General features: G+C 41.6%; 1 protein-coding gene across 4 annotated transcripts in view, besides 1 other annotated feature; it reads left to right on the top strand.

The window, feature by feature from the left end:
* The window catches only part of ADCY8 (adenylate cyclase 8), a 260,609-nt gene that overhangs the window by 213,918 nt on the left and 25,004 nt on the right, over window positions 1–21,687 (top strand). For all 4 annotated transcript variants that reach the window (XM_017013006.2, XM_006716501.4, XM_005250769.4 and 1 more), the window contains 2 exons: window positions 5,572–5,650; window positions 12,765–12,923. In XM_017013006.2, coding sequence (XP_016868495.1) covers window positions 5,572–5,650; window positions 12,765–12,923 — 238 coding nt within the window. The remainder of the gene's footprint in view (window positions 1–5,571; window positions 5,651–12,764; window positions 12,924–21,687) is intronic.
* Window positions 17,855–17,904: a silencer, noted in NCBI's record as "silent region_19555". NCBI's record gives its function as "represses an Ori minimal core promoter by ATAC-STARR-seq in GM12878 lymphoblastoid cells {active_cell/tissue: GM12878}" and the evidence as "EXISTENCE:reporter gene assay evidence [ECO:0000049][PMID:35858748]".

The raw sequence follows: 21,687 nt of genomic DNA, 5'->3' as shown, positions 1-21,687 counted from the left end.
GTTTGCTGCACCCATTAACTCGTCATTTACATTAGGTATTTCTCCTAATGCTATCCCTCCCCCAACCCCCCACCCCACGACAGGCCCTGGTGTGTGATGTTCAACAAAATATCTTAAGATCTACTGTGCACCTGTTGTTACAAAGAAGATGCTTACAAAAGCAACAAATACCACCTCTGCCTTTTGTTTTGGTATCTAGCTGCCTCCCACCCCATCCCACCCCAAATACCCACCGCTTTATTCATGACACTGCTGTTTCCGCTTTCTGGCATCTGGAGGCTAACAGCATGTGTAGGGGCTTCTCAGAGGTCTCCAGGCTGCAGATAAGCCATGGTTACCAAAATAATCATTGCAAGATTATACCAATAATGTTAGATGTTGAAGGCATTTCAGACATAAAATGTACTACCAGATGAGACATAAAATGTACTACCATTCTCATGAATGAGAATGAGTTAGAATAGATAGTATCTAGGAAAAACACTTATCTAAAAGCATTTGGAGGGAATTAAAGAAAATTGGCACAGGCAGAATCTAGAAGCCATGTGGTGGAGAAAAGATTTTTTCTGACCTAAAATTGTTTTAGTTTGATCCCCATTTGTTTATTACATCGGAAATGTTCATTTGTCCACACAGTCCTCATAAATAACCAGAATTGTAAAGACTGATGATAGTGGCCATATATCAATTTTCTCTCATATATATACAATACTTAATAGTTCATATGTCTCTTTCTAATTTATCATCTCATTTAAACATCTTGATAACCTTTTGATGTGAGTGCCATCTTCCTCTTTTCAAACATAGGAAGATTCAGTCTTCTTTTAATGATAGGGAAACTATGAACTACTAGTATATGACAAAGCCAGTTCTGGAATGCCATTCTTTATGCCAACCATGTTCAATGTACTTTTCACTGAACCATTTCCAATTCTACTCTCATGTTTATACGAGAATATTCATCAAAGTGAAAATAACCCTAGGAGGTCTCCAACTTTGTTGCCATGCCCAGTACTGTGGCTGAAAGATCCTGCGGAAGTAGTCCTCCAGGATAATTTCAGTCCATGCAGCTGAGTCTCTTTAGTGTCTCAGGATGACCGCCTGTGTGGCCACTATGCTGATGGATCAATAATGAGGCAGAGAGACAGAAAGACCAGGCACAGACCACACCAGAGTAAATCAATCAAGGTCTGCTCAATTAAAAAGTAAAAATTAGGTCAGTATAGGCAGGACACAGCGAAGAGGTTAGCCACATTCTTCAAGGAAGATTTAAGATTTCCATCCTCAAGTGCCTCATCAGTGACCATACTGTTGCAGAAAACAATGTCTGCATAAAGACACATCAGACTTTTTAGAAGCAGAACTGATCTTCTCTAGGCCCAGCCTTAAAACAGGAACTTTTCCAGGTTTATGATGGAAACTACTTCACTTGGGCCAAGTGCACCTCATCAGTCTGAGTTACACAACACAAAATATGAATACAAATCACAGGGCACAGTACACTTGAACTTGGGCACACTTCCCATTCATCATCTTCAGCCTTTCAAGGCAAATGCCACAAAAGTAGAATTAAGATAAGTGATGCAGATCTTGCTACCCAATCATGAAAACAGACACCTGCAACATTTCAGCGTTGTATAACACATCAGTCCTTCCTACAGAGAGGGGTTGGTTAATAGATACAAAATTCAACTAGATAAGAGGAGTATGTTTAGTGTTCTATAGCACTGCAGGGTGACTATAATTGACAATAATTTACTGTATGTTTTTAAATAGCTAGAAGAGAGGATTTTGAGTGTTCCCAAAGAAATGATAAATATGTGAGGTAGTGAATATGCTAATTAACCTGCTTTGATCATTACACATAGTACACATGTATTGAAACATCGCTCTGTGCCCTATAAATATGTACAATTGTTACACATCAATTAAAAATAAAATTAAAAAGAATCAAGAAGGTTTTGGGATGCACAAAAGGATTTTAACCAATGAGAAGTTGGGGTAATTCAAAAGAACACTGTCTGCTACAACTAAAGGACTAGATGGGGACAAGAATGGATGCAGAAAGACTATTTGGGAGGCAACTGTAATGGCCAGCTTCATGGATATGTGGCCTGTGCATTCACATAGGGCTCTGCACTCAGAAGGGCCTTGCTTTGTTTAATGCCCTGCTTTCACCATCTTGAAATTCTCTAAAAAAAAATTTCAAGAAACCCCTGCATTTTCATTTTACAGTGGGTCCACAAATTATTGAACCAGTTCTAGCTATTGCACTAATCCACATGAAACAGCAGGGTCAATAGGAGGAATGAACAACCAGGAAATAATCCACGTGTAGAGTCAAAGCCAAATAACATTTGTCCAACATCACACGACCTTCGTGAATTCGTCCATGTATCCATTCAATACACATTACATTGTTTTCTGTGGGTTTTTACTAGGCCCTGCAGGTTCATAGATGAATAAGGCATTATTTTTATCCTTTAGGACCTTAAGGGCAAGCAATTATAAGTAGGTACACAGAGGAGGGCATTGTAGCTACTGAAAAATACCACTGAGATCTGAATTGATAGCTAGTCTTCACTGTTCGCTAGCTAATTAAGTTAAATTTTTTAACAACTCAGTCTTGGATTTTTTTTCTAGAATGGGAATAATAGTATCTTGATTGTTGATATGACAATTAAAGTAGGCAGAATATGTAAAGTGGTTATTAGAGTATGGCATAAAATTAGCACTTACAGTCATTATTATGACAACAGAATAAAAGATAAATTCAAGCTGAATGGTTTATTATGAGTGTCATAGAAGCAATTGGGAACTAATAATAAACTAAAAATTCGGGGTCAAATGTGCTATAATGAACATGCTGAATTTGGTGCCTGAGCTATGAGTTCTCATCCTGGCTCTGACACAAATGAGCTATGTGACCTTGGGAAAATGACTACTCCTCCGTGGGCCTCAGTCTCTACCTGTAAAATAAAAGGCTTCAAGGGATATTACATTATGTGTGGTGCACATAATATGAACTAGAATAAATCTGCTAAGTGCACAAAAGGTACTTAATTACTTGAAATTATTTTCATAATTTTTAGTAAGTCTGAAGTAGCTTACGAAACAGTATGAGAGCTATGCAATCCTAAATTTGTAAACATACTTTTTTGTATGGGGTAAAAGGAAATGACATTTAGTTAACTCCAAAATTTTAACCATTGTCTTCTCTGGGTGGTAGGCTTAAGGGCAATTTTTATTTTTTTATATGTGCATCTTTATTAGTTTCCAAACTCACTATAATTAGCATAAATATTTCTGTAATGAATAGCACTCAAATATTAATTTTTGTGATACATCAGATAAGATGATCTCTAAAGATTGTTATAGCCCTGAAAATTACATTATGCTACATGGGTTTTCACTTAAGAATGTTCCTTTCTATTAGCATAAAGAGATGACAGTATTAACTCAGTGATTTTATTAATACAAATAAATTAGTTCAACATGTTCTTGGTTTTAAGTCCCTGGCAACCAATATTAAGCAAAACATTATAATACAGTACAGATTTCAGTCATTTGGCTCTCTTTGGAAGTTCTTTAAGGAATCATTGAAACTACAAAAATAAAAACTTTCTAATTTCAAACCACAGTTCTGATGCTCCTCAGCCTGGCTGACTTACTGTGCATATTCTGCAGTCTGTGCTCAGGCTGTTTTTTCCATCTGCAATACAGTGAATGACTCAAAAATTGTTCATAATTTTTACTTTTTCTTCTGAGTTTTGTCTAGTCATCTTTCTATTTTTGGTCAATCACTGCTTTCAAAATAATTCAAGAGGTATTTGTGTTTTCTCTTGAAAATGTGTTTCAAATGATAAATTTCTGGGCTTAAAGTCTTCTGTATGGCAAAGCAAAGGATATCCAAAGTGCCAGGCAGAGCAGGGATTTGGGAAGAAGTCACAAGGAGGAGCTGAACGCAGGACATGCTCATTCAAACTAAGCAATGTGAACAAGTGACTTTTTAAAGCTCCACCACCATGAGCAAGATGATGTGTCAGGTGCTTCACAGGGTGGCAAGGGGGAAATGTGGGCCAGGCACTGTGCCAAGCACATAACCATGATTAACTCATTTAATCCTCACAATTATAGAGGTATACACTATTAAATACATTCAACTGAGGCTCAGAGATGTTAAATGACCTTTCCAAGGTCAAACAACTGGTCAGTAGAAAAGCTGACATTGGAACCTGGATCTTCACGAGTCCAAACCTCATGTCTTTAATCTTTTTTCAGGGGTCCACAAACTTCAGAGGCTAGAGAATTGAGTGACATGAAAGAATAAAAGGATGGTACTGGAATGTGTCTATGTCCTCAAAATAAGCCTGATGGTGATGGTGGATGGCTGGAAGGATGGATGGATGGATGGATGGATGGATGGATGGATGGATGGATGGATGGATGGATGGATTCATGGATTCATGGATTCATGGATTCATGAATGGATGGATGACTCCTCAGCCCTAAAATGCAGGATGACAATGTGTGGCTCACAGTCCAGCCCTCTTCACTTTAGCACTCACAGTGGACAGCTCTGTTAGCACTCTCTCCTCCTGAGTCTACATATGGCTTCAAACATGATATATGACATTTATTTTTTATCCCCATACTGGAGACCTATAAACCACCTAGCTAAGCAAAATAGATGTCCTGTACCTAGAGAACCCATCCCACTTTTTCCTTGTGAAGCCTTATCTTTTAGGATTCAGCTCTTCAGCCTTCCCTGAACACCCAGCCTGGGTTGCTTTTTTTCCCGTGTATTCCTATGGCAACAAGGATGTATCCTTTCCACGGAGTTTATCATATTATAAAATTATCTGTGTATTTATTTCTCTTACTTAATGTTTCAAGGACAAAGACAACATGCCTTCTTCATCTCTATATCCCAGAATATTATGCCTGGCACACAGTAGATGCTCAATAATTATGTGCTTCTCTGGGTCTATAGAAGCATAATAATTAGTATCATCTATTGTTAACATCTTTTCTCCAAGGTATTCACAGATTTGACTCTTGTCCCAGCCCACAGAGTTATTTGGTCCTCTTAATCCTCATATGCAAAATACCTCCCTAAGAATGTACATTTTCACTCCTAAGTCTAAGTCCCTGTCCAATCCTGATGAGTTGAACTGTGCCTGGCCCAGTATAAGCTGGGAAGGTTTTTTTAGCATAAAGCTAGATTCCATCTTCACATGGATTTTGATAGGAAAGTATAAAGGCTGTTTAAAATCTATAAAATGTGTTCTGCACATAGAAAACATTATTATTAATGTGAGTGTACCATCTAGACACTAGACTCTAGAATCTCTTTCACCATATGTGTTCTGGGTCACCTCATACCCTTGGGGGTCAATTGATTTTTGAATTAGCCAATGTGCAAACCCTTAGAGCAGCCACTATCACATAATAGGTGCTGAAAAGATGTGTGTTTTTTTCTTTTTATACCACTCCTTTCTGAACCTCAGTTTTCTCATAGGTCTCCTTGAAGTCCCCCCATGGTTATCAGTTCCTTTTTTCTTCCAACAGAGATTTCCTGGGGACCAAGGAGGTATCACTGCTACTGATGGCCATGTTCCTCCTGGCTGTGTTCTACCATGGACAGCAGGTAATCTAACATTTCGCTCTGACTGCTCTGTTACCTGACATTTCTTGTTACCATCAAACTGGCCTCTGCTGCTCTTTGCAGCAAATAACTTTTAGCTGCCTGTGGCAAGTTGTGGTTCTTAAAGAATCAATTCCTAATAAAGACCACCTAATGAAAAACAAAGCTGGAGAAGATCTGGTAAACAATGTGGTTTTAATGACCTTTGGATACATCTCTTTCAAAATATCATCCTAGTGAAAGAGCTTTCAATTTCTGCCTAAGACAAACTGGGATCCCTCCCAATTCTGTTGCCTGGATGAAATTATTACTACTACAAAAGTTGTGTGCTATATTAGGTAAACATGTGGGTTCAGCTGAGCCTGGATTCTAATCACAGTTCTTACTCTCAGCAGTGTATGATTTTGGGCAAGTTACTTATCTCCATGAGCCTCAGTTTCCTCAACTCTAAAATAAATTAGTAATACCTAAATAGGGCTGTCTTGAGGAAGCGTTGCAGATTACTGTGTGTAGAATTTTGTGCACTGACTTGCATTGTTTATAATAAAGACTTCGTTACAGATCTGTCCTAATTAGATAAAATGCCTGCCATATGGATTATGCTTTCCATGAGCCCCTACTCTTTACCAGAATCTGGAGTGGGCACTGTGGGCAGAACTGTACAAAATCCCAGCTCTGGTCCAGTCTCCTGGAGTAGAGCTGACCCCAAATAATGCAAACATGTTATGTGTGGAACAGACTTAGCTAGGGACTTCGAGAAAGAAAATTATTCTTCATAGGAACATCTAGGCAGGGTTCTCAAAGACCAGTAGGTCTTCTCCAGGTGAACTCCAACCCATGAACGTTCGTCGCTTGGGGAGATTCTCACCCCCTGGTAGAAATCAGGCACTGCCTCCCTCACTACCCTTCTCTGGATCTTGGTCCATCTTTCTGTGGTCTGTGTGTACTTCAAAAACCATAACCAGAAAAGGAGGAAAGCACAGCAAGGAGACTGTCAGCCAGACCAGAAATAGAAGCACATTGCTGGGAAATCACCATGGAAATGGAGGTAACGAACCCTGAGAAAATAGGGATGAAACAGCCCAAAACCCCAAGAACACAGAGACACATAATTAAAGTTATTTGTAATAAAGGGGATTGTACAGTGTAGTCAAGAAAAAAATAGATAATATTAAAACTTGGCAAGTGAAGGAAATGAATAAAGAATTAATATTTATTGAGTCCCTACTATGTGCCTAGCACTTTCTCTCTATTCTCATTTAATCCTATCAACAACCTGGAATGGAAGTTATTATTACTCCTGTTTTATGGACGATGAAAGTAAGGCTATTCAGCTAGTAAGTAGGAGGACCAGAATTCAAATCCTGATCTGTCTTCAAAGCCTCCCCTTTCTACTTCACTGGGCTGATCAGAGCAGAACAAAGATGCTGTCTGCATACGAACACAGTGACCCAGGACACTGCATCTTGCAATATGCTTTGACTTGTTTTCCCATTTTGGCTAAAATTATGATGAAACACTAGGCCAAATGTCAAAGTCTAGCCATTTCTAGAATTCCTGTTTTTAGGTCTTTCCAGCTATCTGTGAGGACTGGGGTCTTGTCTTCTGCTACTTGACAGCTTTCATTTCTAGGGGAGAGTGCCTTAGTCTGACACACAAATGACAATCCATTTGAGAACTACAAAAACAGATTTAGACAAGGCCATCACCCTATAGACAAACATATGCTCACTCAATTACACAGGTTTTAAATTGACAAGTGAGAAATCCCTGGAAATAGCTGAGAGAACAAGTTCTGGGTAAGGGTCGTCATTCCATAAAAAGGAGAATGGTTCTGTCTCTTCTGTCACCTTAGGGAATTACTTTGTGCCCTGTCAGTGCCTTCCTCAAATGGTACCCTAATAACATTCAGATTTGATTTATCCTGTGCTCCATTTGTCCTGGGAAAGCAGATAACCTAATTGCATTAAGATTATAGGTAAAGTACGGGTATGTAAGTATTCAGTGAGGGTCTGAGTGACTGGGTTTAAGTGACATCTGATATTTTTCCCTTTTATTTTTAACTTTCAAAAGGCTTTGAAATTATATAACCACATCTCATCACTATAGCAGTTACAAGTACAGGCTTTGGAATTGGGCAGATAGTATTAAAACCCCAACTCTGCCACTTAGTAGCTATGTGACTTTCAACAATTTACTTAACTTTCTGATTTTCAGTTTCCTCACCTGTAAAATGGGTATGATAATAACAAGTTCTACTTCATCGGGTTGTTAGAGTGTTATATGAGAATATAATTGTAATATACTTATCCCAGTGGCTCGCACATATAAATTTTCAAAATTGATAGCTATTAATATTTTACTTTAAAAATAAGCTGATGACAAAAACAAGGCAGGTATTGTTAGCCATCTGGTCCTAAGACAAGAACAGAGATTGAAGTCCCCTGAGGTCACAAAGCCTGTAAGAAACGCCAGACTGGAGCGGGAATCCAAATGCTCAAGCTCCTAGTTCCATTCTGTTTCCTTCACATGCCACTGCCTCCCTGTGATAGGGGCGGCTTTCTGCAGGGTTGTATCACTTCAAGTGTCTTCTATCTGCAGCATCGTTTTGGGTCCTGTTAATCTCCGATCAAGCCTGCCCACTCCTGGGCTTGCTCCCTGCTTCTACTGGTTTTCCCTTGTGACTCAGAGGCCCTCTATTTTTAATAGGGGCTAAATAATGCCCACTGATGCCTGGTACGCAGAAGCGTCTGGTGGGGGCATGTGTAATTAAACATCTCCAGAGGGACGGAGGTGGTTATGTAACTGAATAATTGGAAATTTTTATCTTGCACATATGTGGAAATGACATGCCAAACACTTCCTCCTCTGAGGCAGGTGAACATTCTCAACATTGAACAGAGACAGCAAACAACTGGGTGCCTCCCACCTGGTGCCTGATTCACTGGTAGCCCTGGAGGTTTGGGCTTTGCCTGGGACTCTTCGGTTTTAGCAGAGGAAGCCACGCCTCCACAAGGAGAAAGAGAATAATGAGGTCCTGTCTCCAGTAACTTCCAGGTGTGATAATGGCAGGCACCTGAGATTGTGTGGCTCAGAAGGAAAGACTCAAGCCTTGGAACCAAATATTCTTGCTTGAGTCCTAGCAATTCCACTTCAAGAATAGGTAACCTTGAGAGACTCAACCTTCCAGGGCTGTCATTTCTTACAGTTTATTGATTGCATTCTCTAAGGCATTTAAGAAATTCCCCTGTCCTTTGTTTTTGTTTTGTTTTGTTTGTACTGTATTTCTGTCCAGAAGCTTGGTGAGATTCAGGTTTAATGATTTCTGCAAAACATTTAATTGGTTGGTTTTATAGACTACAATTAGGGGGTGCATAATGTCTCCTTATCTTTTTGTGATGTTAGCAGCTGCTTATGATAATCGCCTATATTCACTTATTTTATACAGTGATATGCTAATCCTATCAGTTCTCCATAATTTATTAGCTGGAATACGTTACTAAAGAGAACCATCTCCTCACTATTTGTTACCTGGAAGTACAATTCATAAAGCAAAGATAAATGCTGAATTTTTTCCCTATAAGTTTGTTTAAGTTTCCCCATAAGTTTTTTCCCTAGCATCATTCAGAGGTGACCATGAGGTTCTGGTTTTTAAGTGTCATTTTGAATTTACACATTTTACCATATTCTCTGTGTTTCAATTCATTGCAATTATTAGTCTTATTAAGCTAAACGTGTCACATCTTTGACTAGTGGGAGTTCATTCAAGTTGGCTTTTGCATCATTTTGACATAACCCTGGTAGTCTCTGATAGACTCCTGGTTTCCCGTATTAAAAAATCTTCCAATAAAGTCATTTACTTAAAACAAGACATAATTAAAAGTACCTAAAATTTGGGCACCTCTGAAAAGAATGGGAATTTTTTTGTAGGAACTGATATTTAGAAACCACAATCTGGACACTGGGAGTTATTACTACTAAGTTTTCATTGTTTCTAGAACTTGATTTCAGTGGGCAGAGCTAGAAAATCTATACATCATGAGTTCACAGTGTGATACTTCCACTTCATAGTGAGGACCACAAGCTTTTGACTTAACTTCATCAATCTTGTATCTGCAGCTCCTTTTTCTCTTCCCCAAAATTCCAGTTTTAATGACACCAACACAGTTACTCATTTACTTTATCTTGTGATTTACTATAATAGTCTAAGTATATTAATACAATTGTTACCACCTATAATGTGATTATTGTAAACAGTTTTGACATTCTTGTTGAGCTCTTTTTATCCTTAGGGTATTTCCCTCTGGCAGCATGTCATCAAATTATTGTGCAAAAGGACATCTGATATAGTTCCTCTCTGTGTAGGTTCATTTGTTGGTTTGTCTGCTTGGTTATTTGTTTTTACAGAGTTTTTTGATAATAGATTTAGTTTAATAAGTAAAATATTGGAATTATTCTAAAGTTATTTACTTAAAACAAGACATAATTAAAGAAATTTAAATTCTAACCCTATTTTCCCACACCATTCCCTTCCTTTGTCATTTCATAGATTAAAATATAAACCATTTTATAAAATGTAAAATGGTTTATATGTTAATGTTTTAATAAATTAATTAAGAAGGCCAGTCACAGTGGCTCATGCCTGTAATCCCAGCACTTTGGGAGGCAGAGGCAGGTGGATCACGAGGTCAGGAGATCAAGACCATCCTGGCTAACACGGTGAAACCCTGTCTCTACTAAAAATACAAAAAATTAGCTGGGCGTGGTGGCAGGCACCTGTGATCCCAGCTACTCGGGGGGCTGAGGCAGGAGAATGGGGTGAACCCGAGGGGCGGAGCTTGCAGTGAGCTGAGATAGTGCCACTGCACTCCAGCCTGGGCGACAGAGCGAGACTCTGTCTCAAAAAAAAAAAAAAAAGAAAAAAAAATTAATTAAGAAATATGTGTGTGTGCATGCATGTGGATAAAGAGATCGATCTTTCTTAGATAAATGGTAGCATACTATATACACTTTTCTCCTCTTGGAGACCAGTTCCTCAAAGTATGGAGAGATAGTCTTCATTTCTTTTTAATAGCTGCATCATGTTCAATGATATTTCTGTACTAAAGTTTACTCAGCCAACAAAATGAACATTTGGTTTGTTTCCAGCCTTTGTTATTAAAAATTCTGCTGAATGGATAACCTTTTGCATATGGTCTTTTCATACTTTTGCCATCCACTGAGACTTTAAAATTTTTTTAAAAAGAAAAGAAGCTATCTGAACTGTCTAAGCCCTTGAATTCAGGGCAGCTCACCATGTGTTTACCAGGGCAGCATACTGTTCATGTCAACAGTTAAAGACTGAAATAATGACATACGCAGAACTGCAGTAAAAACGGGCTGTGAGATCCTTTGGAAAGGACACTGTGCACCTTCTCATGAGAGGGGAGGCTAGGACAAGAGGGAACCAATGTGTATTGAGTGCCTACTATGTGCCATGTGTTTATCTATAACTTCCTATAATGCCTATTCCGCCCCTGCCTGGTCACTGATGTTCACATCAATTTCAGAGATGAGGAAACTGAGATGAAGTAACTTGTCCAGGGTTAAAGTGTGTAAATGTGGAACTAGAACTCTAAGCTATATCTGTCTAGCAACTAAATCTGTAATCCTTTCACTAATGAGTTCATTCATTTATTCTATATTACCTAGTGGTTAACAATTCAGATTCTATATTCTGATTTTTGAATCAAGTTCAAATCCTGGCTTCCACTAACTCATGTGTGATCTTAGTCAAGTTATTAATTCATGTTTGCTTTGATTTTCTTATCTGTAAAATAAGAAATGACAATAATACCTTCCTATTAGGGCTATTACATGGATTAAAGGATTTAATATATGTATATTGTTTAAAAACATTCCTGGTATATGATAAGCACCATGTAAGTGTTAGCTAGTTTTATTATGATAACTTATTTAATGAGCCATCAAATATTAAGTGCCTGCCCTGTGCCAAACCTGTTACTACGTGGTAAGTGTATTCGTATCTCCACCTGTCGTACATAACAATATGCCATAGACTGAGTGTATTTAACAACAGAAATTTATCTTCTCATGGTTCTGGAGGCTGAGAAGTCCAAGGTCAAGATCTGGAAGGGTTTGTTTTCTGATGAGGGCTCTTATTTGGCTTGCAGATGGCTGGCTACCTGCTTGCTGTATCCCAACCTGGCCTTTTTTTAGTGTGTGCATGTGGAGAGAGAAAGAGCGAGTGTTCTCATGTCTCTTCCTACAAGGGCAGTAATCTCATCCTGAGGGATACACCAGCATGACCTCATCAACCCTAATTACATCCCAAAGTTTCCATCTCTAAATGCCATCACATTGGGGGTTAGGGCTCCAATATATGAATTTGAGAGGGACACAGACATTCAGTCTGTAACAGTAAGGATGTAAAGTCGAACAGATAGAAGCACCTCTGACGATATGATATGGTTTGGCTGTGTTCCCACCCAAATCTCACCCTGAATTATAATAATCCCCATATGTCAAGGATGGGTCCAGGTGGAGATAACTGAGCCATGGGGGCAGTTTCCCCCATACTGTTCTCATGGTAGTGAATGACTTTCATGAGATCTGATGGTTTTATAAATGGGAGCTCCCCTGCACAAGCTCTCACTTGCCTGCTGCCATGTAAGAGGTTCCTTTGCTCTTCCTTCATCTTCCACCATGATTGTGAGGCCTCCTCAGCCATGTGGAACTAGAAGTCCATTAAACATCTTTCCTTTATAAATTATCCAGTCTTGGGTGTATTTTGATTAGCACCACGAGAATGGACTAATACACCATACAACACTGACAGTCTAGTAGAGGACACCAACATTATCAGGTAATCACACAAACAAGTATGAAATCACAGGGGGCAATAATGCTGTGAAAGGCAGGCGCACATCCCTGTGAAACCTAATCATTCTCTGATCACTTGGCTTCCAACAAAATGCCTCCCAAAATATTCAGATCAGGCTCTGTTTCATTTGTGAAGAGTTCCAGAGAAGCCTTTCCTGCCTCCCAGTTGTCTGTGCCTGAAGCCTACACCTCAGAAGTTTACCTCATTCTCCTCTTTCTCTCACATGTACTGCAGCTGGAGTACACAGCCCGCCTGGACTTCCTTTGGCGAGTACAGGCCAAAGAGGAGATCAATGAGATGAAGGAGCTGAGGGAACACAATGAGAACATGCTCCGGAATATCTTACCCAGCCATGTGGCCCGCCATTTCCTAGAGAAGGACCGAGACAATGAGGTGAGCCAGGGGCTGGTCTAGCCAGTGAGAAAGGGTGGTGGTGGGTGATGTGCAGTTGTTCACATTGATCCCAAACTCTGGGAGAATTTCACTGTCATCATGTGAGTGCATGAGAATGGAGAAACTCCTAACACTATGAAATTTACACATGGCCTCCCAACCTCAGGCACCTCATCTACAAGATGGATATAATAAGGTCTCCATTGAAAGACTACATTGGAATTTTAAAGTTGTATGTGCATATGCATGTGTGTGTGTATATATATGTATATATATGTATGTGTATGTACGTATGTATGTATATATACACAACAATTTCACTTCTGGTTATATACCCAAAATAATTGAAAAAAGGGTCTCAAAGACATATTTGTATATCTAGAAGCATTATTTACAATAGTCAAAAAGTTGAAGCAGCCCCAAGGGTCCACTGATGGACGAATAGATAAACAAAATGTGATATATACATAAAGTGGAATATTATTCAGGCTTTAAAAAGAAGGGAATTCTCACACATGCTACAGCAATGGATGAATTTTGAATACATTACGCTAAGTAAAATGGGCCATTCGCAAAAAATAAATACTATATTATTCCACTTATATAAGGTACCTAGAGTGGTCAAATTCATAGAGATGAAAAGTAGAATGGTGGTTGCCAAGGGCTGGAGGGAGGGGAGAATTGGAGTTATTGTTTCATGAGTGCAAAGAATTTCAGTTTTGCAAGATCACAAGAGTTCCAGAGATAGATGGTGAAGATGGTTGCACAACAATGTGACTATACTTAATGCCACTAAACTATACACTTAAAAATGGTCAAGATGGCCGGGCGCAGTGGCTCACGCCTATAATCTCAGCACTTTGGGAGGCTCAGGCGGGTGGACCATGAGGTCAGGAGTTGAAGACCAGCCTGGCCAAGATGGTGAAACCCCGTCTCTACTAAAAATTACAAAAATTAGCCAAGCGTGGGGGCAGGCGCCTGTAATCCCAGCTACTTGGGAGGCTGAGGCAGGAGTATCGTTTGAACCTGGGGGGCAGAGGTTGCAGTGAGTTGAGATTGTGCCACTGCACTCCAGCCTGGGCGACAGACTGAGAATCCATCTCAAAAAAAAAAAAAAAGATCAAGATGGTAAATTGTATATTATATGCATTTTACCACAATTAAAAATAATAAAATATATGCATGTATATATACATAAATGTATGTATGCATATATGTGTGATACATGTGTGTATATTTATATATCAATATCTATACACATATATGCACATATACATACATATGTGTGTATATATCTTCTTAGCCCATTGCCTAGCATGTAGCAAATGCTCATTAATGTTCTTTTTACTTAAAACTGTTTTTTCTTATTACATTATGAAGGCAGTCTAGAAGTCTGAAATCAAGGTGCTGGGAGTCTCATGCCCTCTCCATAGGGTCTGGGGGAGAATCTCTCCTTGGCTTTTCCAGCTTCTGTTAGGCCCAGGAGTTTCTTGGCTGTGGCCACTTGGCTCTAATTTCTCTCTCCATTTTCACACAGCCCTTCTTAAAAGGACAAGTGTACTCTCCTTTTAACATCACCAGTCATAGATTTAGGGCTCACCCTAATTGAGTATGACCTCATCTTAATTACACCTGCAAAGACCCTATTTCCAAATAGTACCATGTTGGACATGACTGTTGAGGGGAGCATGAGTGTTGGTGGCAGGAGGCACTAGGCACTATTCGGACCACTAGAAGGAGGAAGGGTTGTATGGTGAGAGCTGTGAAGGGAAACCCTAGACAGAGCCTAATGGTCAAGCTCCATGGGCGATGGTCATTTCCACATACAATGGGAGCCTTTGGAAGTTTTAAGTGTAACCTAGTCAATTGGCTACTGATAGAGAGTGGATAGGAGGATCATGCAACACAAAGCCAGGCAGGAGACTCTAAAAGGGCCCAGGCAAGACCCTGGTGATGAGGCCTAGGATGGTGGCAGTGGAGATGGAGAGAAGAAGATGAATTACAGACACCTTTAGGATATAGAATCAATAGTTCTTGATAATGGAGCAGATGTGGGAGGTGAGAAATGACAAAATCAAATGATTTGGTTCCCCCTCTAACCTTCAAGGGAAAGTAACTCAAGAGGGAACTGAAGGTGTCTTTGAAAGCCCAAAGTGGCATTATTATGTGAATGGGTTTGGTCTTACTCTGTGAGACTCCCAAGGGAAGGTCTAGAACCATGGACTGGCCCACAGGGGACATCTTTGGGTTTCGTGTTAGGAGGAGCCTTACAAGGACAGAGCCATCAGGCCATCTCATCCTCCTAACACAGTTAGATCCACAAAGCAGGGACTACATCACCCTTGGTCACCACTGTGCCTGGCTGTGGCCCCTGCTCTTAAAATGCCTGTGGATGAACTGGAGTAGTGGGCTCCCTTGCTGAGGCATTTAACTTGGGAAAGCTAACCCCTTGCTGAGGATGCTACAAAGGCAATATGGATTGTCTGAGAGGCAGGGATAATACCGCTCTTCCAGGACTAGATTTTCAGACTGAGCTAAACAGGAAATGAAAAACCCTTAGGACAAGAATTACGAACTCTAAGACCCTGAGACAAATCTGACCAATGAGCCAGTTGGCTTGGACAGTGGGTTAGTTGATTGGTTTATAGTTAATTTATGAATGGCTCTTCAGTTTACCCATCTGTACCCTGCCATTTATGTTACCTGTAGCGCCCCTAAAAGCATTGGGGTTTGTGATCCTTGCCTTAGGACCATAGAGGGCAGAGCTAGGAGAGAATGATGAGGTCCATTTTTCATCTGAGCCACTGAAGAAAAACTAGTGGAAGACAAGCCAAGGGAATGAGTAATCAGCCACTGGAATAATCAGATCTTGATGTACTCAGGTCTTTGAGAGTCTCTTGGGTGCGGAGACTCCACCCTCCTCAACAGATGGAGTTCCCTGAAACTGGGCTCAGGCCTGGTTTCCTCAAGGCTCCCTAAGGTCAGTGTCTTTGTTGCAAGAGCTTCTTGATGAAGCCATGGAAGCAGAGAGAATATCAGTGTGTATCAACCATGACCACCAGATGGAGACAATAAAACCCCACATGTAAAATCCAAAGAGAAATGAGAAAAAAAAACAGCTTTTTAATCAAGACACCGAAACAGTGAGGCACATAGGACCAGTGGAGAAGAGCAAGGACATACTGGTTCCATCCTGAAAGGAAGGAAACCAACCAGAGACGCATGCTGAGACTCCAGGTCATCAGCTGTCATTCAGGCCAAAGCAAAATAAAGGACTGCTTCAGCATTAATCGCATGTATAAGACATCTTGTCAGGATTATTTGAGATTTTATAAATATTTAAACAGTTCACACTGGACTAGGATTAAACACCAATCATGGTTACATTGCCTAGAGAATTTTCACATTAGGATAAAACATCATTTACTGAACACCTACTCCATGCCAGATACTGAAATAGGCAATTGAGAAAATTATCTTTCATTCTATTTACAACCTTGAGAGTTCCATCAGCCTCATAGTATTGATGAGGAAACTGGGGCCCTGAAAGGTGCAGGGTATGCCCTACTTTCTTTATGCAAAGCCACAAGGGGAGTCCAGTCCCTCAGATTGCTTTCTTCTGTGCCCCTCTCCCCCTTACAATGCTGCTACCCATACCACCTCTGGAGTATGGCAAGACTAGTGTGTGTGTGTGTGTGTGTGTGTGTGTGTGTGTGTGTGTAGAAAAAGAGAGAAAGACAGAGTCATACAATATGTGAAAGGGTGACAGGGAAGGGGCAGGACTGTAGTGGCCGGCAAGAACTCCCAGTTTCATTCTCTGTTACCGTAAGAGGCAAAGGCATTTTTAGTTTCTCCTCTTGCTACAGATCTGAACTGTGATACAAATTTCTGAACATCTGACTGGGGACATCTGTGAGTTTCACGGAGCCACAATAGCACCCAAAGCACCACCTTTTCCTCTTATGCCAGGTATCTCCCAGGTGTATCCCTGAGGTGGCAGTGCCTTCATGGCTGATCTTCAGCTGACCTAGAAGAGTTGTGTGATGCACAAAGCCTCCAACTGACTTGTTTGCATCAATGTGGGCCTCACACTTTAGAAAATAATTCCACAGACCGCACTCAAAGAGGAACCGAATGTACAGCCTCCAGCTGGCAAAGCCAGATAACTTCTTAGTTGTAACTTTTGTGTATGTCCCTGGCCACAGCAGCCAGGGGTATGCTGAAAGCCATCAGTGCCATCATTGCTGCAAGCTCAGACTCTCTTTTCTCTCCCTCCTTGGATTCTAACCCCTTTTGAGGTGTTCCAAATAAGGCCATGTGACCTAGTGGGAAAATCCCAACGTATTAAGCCAGAAGGACATGTATTCAAATCCCAGCTCTTCCACTTACTAGCGTGTGATTTGGAGCAAGTTAGTTAAGTTCTCTGAGCCTCAGTTTCTTCAACTGTAATATGATTCTAATTCTTACCCTCCTAGGACCAGATGTTAATCAGTCAAGGAGGTGGAGGAAAAGAATTCCAGACAGACAGGCCCAAATGGCCAAAGGCATAAAAATGAGATACTATAGGATATTTGCTGAGAAGGACTGGGGGGACTACAAGCACCCAAATATTTTAAGGGAAAGAACAGGCCAGAGCAAAGGTATCATAAGTACAAAGAGACAAGTCTTGAAGAGCATTGAAGTAGCTTGGATCTGATTCAATGTGTAATAGGAGGTAGGAACTATTATCCCCATTTTCTAGATGAAGAAACTGAGGCTCAGGGAAGGAAAGAAATTTACCCATGGTCACAAAGCTAGTGAGTAGTGAGCTCAAATCCAAACCCAGGTATGCGTAACACCAAAGCCAGTGTTCTTTCCCCTCCACCTCACTGTAAGTACATGCAGAGAAGGGAAACTGTGACAAAGGATGACTCAAACCATCCAAACACAGGCGGTGGACAGGGCCTCACACCCAGAAGCATTCTGTCCAAGGCAGTGTTACCCACACCAACATTCTGGCAGCTTCTGCTATTCTGCTGTGCTTTTGGCTTAGAATAGCACTCACTTCCTCTGGTCAGGAACATTCTTGCAGATAAAGCCAGCTGGAGGTCCGGCCTGAGTATCTCATCAATGTCAAGCAGGCTAGCTCTGAGTCCCGGGAAACCCACTGGCTCATCATGGCTTTATGAGGAGTTGTTGAAAAGACACTAGCAAGGGCAGCTGTCCCAGGTGCTGGAGAGTCCACACAGCATAAATCCCATCTCTGTCACTAACTAGCTGTGTGACCTACGCCAGGTTACCCAACTCTTTGGAGTCCATTTCCTCATCTGATTAATAGGGGAAATAATACCGACCTTGCTGAATTGGGGTCAGAGCTAAATCGGATAACAACACATTAAGTCCCCAATGCAGCCCGGTGCCAGGCAGCTTCATTATAGAAAGGCCGTGTGTAGGTGCATTCAAAACCCCAGTGCTGTGGGTTTAGTTCTGGTTCCTCCTTTCACTACCTTTATGACCAATGGCAAATGATAATAACCCTTTCTGGACCTCATTTTCCTCATGCCCCTTGTTGTGCTACAAAGGGATCATAACCATACTCTGCATCTTCATCTGATTCATTACATTTACATGCGTTATCAAGCCTAAAGCACTTACATGGTGCTTGACATATTTTAAACGCACACTGGTTGTTGGCTATTGTTTTTTATATATGTGAGTCATTGCTATTTTTTCTACTCCTTCCCAGTCACAGCCCCATCCCCTATCCCTTCATTCAACCATTCCTTCCTCAAGTATTTATTGAGGGCCAACCATGTGCCAGGTGCTATTCTAAATACCGGGGTTAAAACAGTGAAAAAACAACAAAGGCCTTGATGCTCTGAAACATGTGTTTCTGTGGGAAGACAAGACAGTGAAGCAAATAAATAAATATATAACATAGTGTCAGAGAATGATGAATTTGATGAGGATAGAAGTAGCTGAATAATGGAATAAAGTGTTGAAAGGGTATTTACAATGGTATCTTAGTTTGTTTGTGCTGTTATAACCAAATACTTGATACTGGCCAATTTTTTTTTTTTTTTTTTTTTTTTTTTTTTTTTTTTTTGAGACGGAGTCTCGCTCTGTCACCCAGGCTGGAGTGCAGTGGCGGGATCTCGGCTCACTGCAAGCTCCGCCTCCCGGGTTCACGCCATTCTCCTGCCTCAGCCTCCCAAGTAGCTGGGACTACAGGCGCCCGCCACTACGCCCGGCTAATTTTTTGTATTTTTAGTAGAGACAGGGTTTCACCGTTTTAGCCGGGATGGTCTCGATCTCCTGACCTCGTGATCCGCCCGCCTCGGCCTCCCAAAGTGCTGGGATTACAGGCATGAGCCACCGCGCCCGGCGATACTGGCCAATTTTTAAAGAACAGAAATGTCTTTCCTCCCAGGTCTGGAGAATGGAAAGTCCAAGATCAAAGTGCCAGCAGGTTTCATGTCTGGTGTGGGCCCTTGTTTCTGCTTCCACGATGGCACTTTAAACTCTGTGCCCCCACATGGTGTAAGAGCCAGAAAGAAGAAATCCACTCCCTCATACCCTTTAACAAGGGCCTTAATGCTATTCATGAGAGCTCCACCTTTATCACTTAGTCACCTCCTAAAGCCCTCACCTCTTAATACTATCCCACTGGCAGTGAAGTTTCAACATATGAATTTGGGGGACACATTCAGAAAAGAGCAAGGGTCATGGAAGCTCTCTCTAAGGAGGTGACATTTGATCAGAGACCTGAATGACATGAAAGGATGCTAATAAGGTTTGCAAGTCTCAGACATAGTTTCTCCCATGCTGAGAGGTGGCTTAACTTGGTATAAGCAACGCAGGACTTGGAGTTGCTTGAGCAGGTGAAGGACCAGACTATAGTTCCCCAGGCAGAGAGGACGTCAGTCCTCATACTGACATATGCAGGTGTGCGACGGAGCGCATGCACATGTTCAAAATCCTCTACTAAGTCCATACCTTCGACCAACCAGAGGAAGATCACAATAAACCAATAATAGCTTTTCTATATTCATCAATTCCTCCCCAGTTTACAAAGTGTTTTTATATTTTTGAAGCCCAAAATATCAAGAAACAGATGGCACACTCAAGGCTGTTGACTGGAGTGAGTTGAGTGAAGGGACTGTCTCGGAAGGTGTATGTAGGTTGTCCAGAGCTCCTCCGTGTGCCCCTCAAAATCCCTTCACCTCTTCTCTCTGCTCTTCCTGAGGGGTCACGGGTGAGAGGGCTCATCTACATGGGTTACATCTGTGACCTGCTAGGCCCTCAGGCACCCAGGTGAGGGATCATCAATGGCCGGCCCTGGGTAAGAGATGAGGGGAAGTGAGGAATGTGAGGTGAGGATGTTTATTCCCTTGCGATTGCCTGAGGCTGGCTATGTCACTTCACAGAAATTAATATCTCCTCCCAAGGCCACTGCTGTGCTGCCTCCAATGTCAAACGAGCTCACTCCTTTTGGGCTCTTCTCATCCCTTTGAGCCTAGAGGGATGACTGCTCTCCCACCACTAGCCTTGGGTTTCTGGGAGATTTCTTAGGGTTTCCCTACTTCCTGCCCTCATCTTTCTAATTAAGCCCTTTATCAGTTAACCCTTCCTGAATCATCTTGATCTGAATGTGTGCCCTCTTTTCTGCTGGGTCTCTAATTGAAGCAATAGGGATAAGGAGGAGATGAATATTCCACTGTGCTCAGCAATTGTGGGAAGCTGTGATGGCTCCCAGGCTGAAAGGGACAAGGAGAAAAAGCAGTTACTGGAACCAGCGTGAGTAGCCACTGCCAGTCATGGCACAGAGGAGCAGGCAGACAACTGGAGTGGAGCATCTCAGGGCCACCAAGGGCAAAAGCAGAGCAAGAGCTGGCACTGTCATCAACTGCTGAGGGACCTGTGGTCAGAGGAGTCACCTCACTTGCCCAGAGTCATGTGCCCACAGCTGTGGGGGTCGAGCGCTCCTCTCTTCCCACGTTCCTGCCTTCACCAGCTGAGGAGGAAATCCCTCTAACACCGTCCACCCTGTGGGGAAATGCCGGGGAGGGAGTCTCTCCCTCTCTTATGGTGCTTTACCCCACCAGACTGGGGAAAGACAGGGTCACTGGACCTCGAGACAATTGTGGGGCCCGGGTGCTAAAGACCCACAAAGACCTCAATCTGTCTTGTATCCTCATGGACCTGTTTGTGCCCAAGGTGAACCCACCTTCTCCTCACATGTGGCAAGCCACATAACACAGGTTTCCCTTTCTGCCCCACAAGAAGCTAAAGACCCACCATTCTCCAGGCTCCCTGCCAGCCACTGAATAGACAAATTAGCTCAGTCCCACTCTGTCTCACAGGAAGGAGCTAAAGGTTCCCATTTATGCCTCAGATCCAAGACACATTGTCCAATCCATCCTTATCTGAGAGTCTGTGTTGGGGGTTTGGTCTTCAACTGACTGTCAGACCCCTGTAGCCACTCCCTCCATCAGTTAGCATCTTATGGAAAGGAGGGGTGAGTCCCAGCCCACCCTATTCCCACTTCTCCAACCTCCAGCAGGATACCACAGAATCAAGATCTGAACTCAGGTCATATTTCTTCAAGCTCTTTCTTACCCCTCCACTGTGAAACGACCACCCAATCAGATGGACAAACCTAAACCAGTTTTCAGTTTCCATGTCACTTATTCCTGCTTGTCATTATTATTATTACTGCTGTTGTTGTTGCTATAATTATAGTTATTATTAGCAGTACAAATTTCAGCTCTACGTCATAACAACT

Source organism: Homo sapiens, chromosome 8, assembly GCF_000001405.40.
Source record: "Homo sapiens chromosome 8, GRCh38.p14 Primary Assembly".
In the NCBI taxonomy this organism is placed as follows: Eukaryota; Metazoa; Chordata; class Mammalia; order Primates; family Hominidae; genus Homo; species Homo sapiens.
The sequence above is the reverse complement of the archived record's forward strand: the minus strand, read 5'-3'. Positions and strand labels throughout refer to the sequence as shown.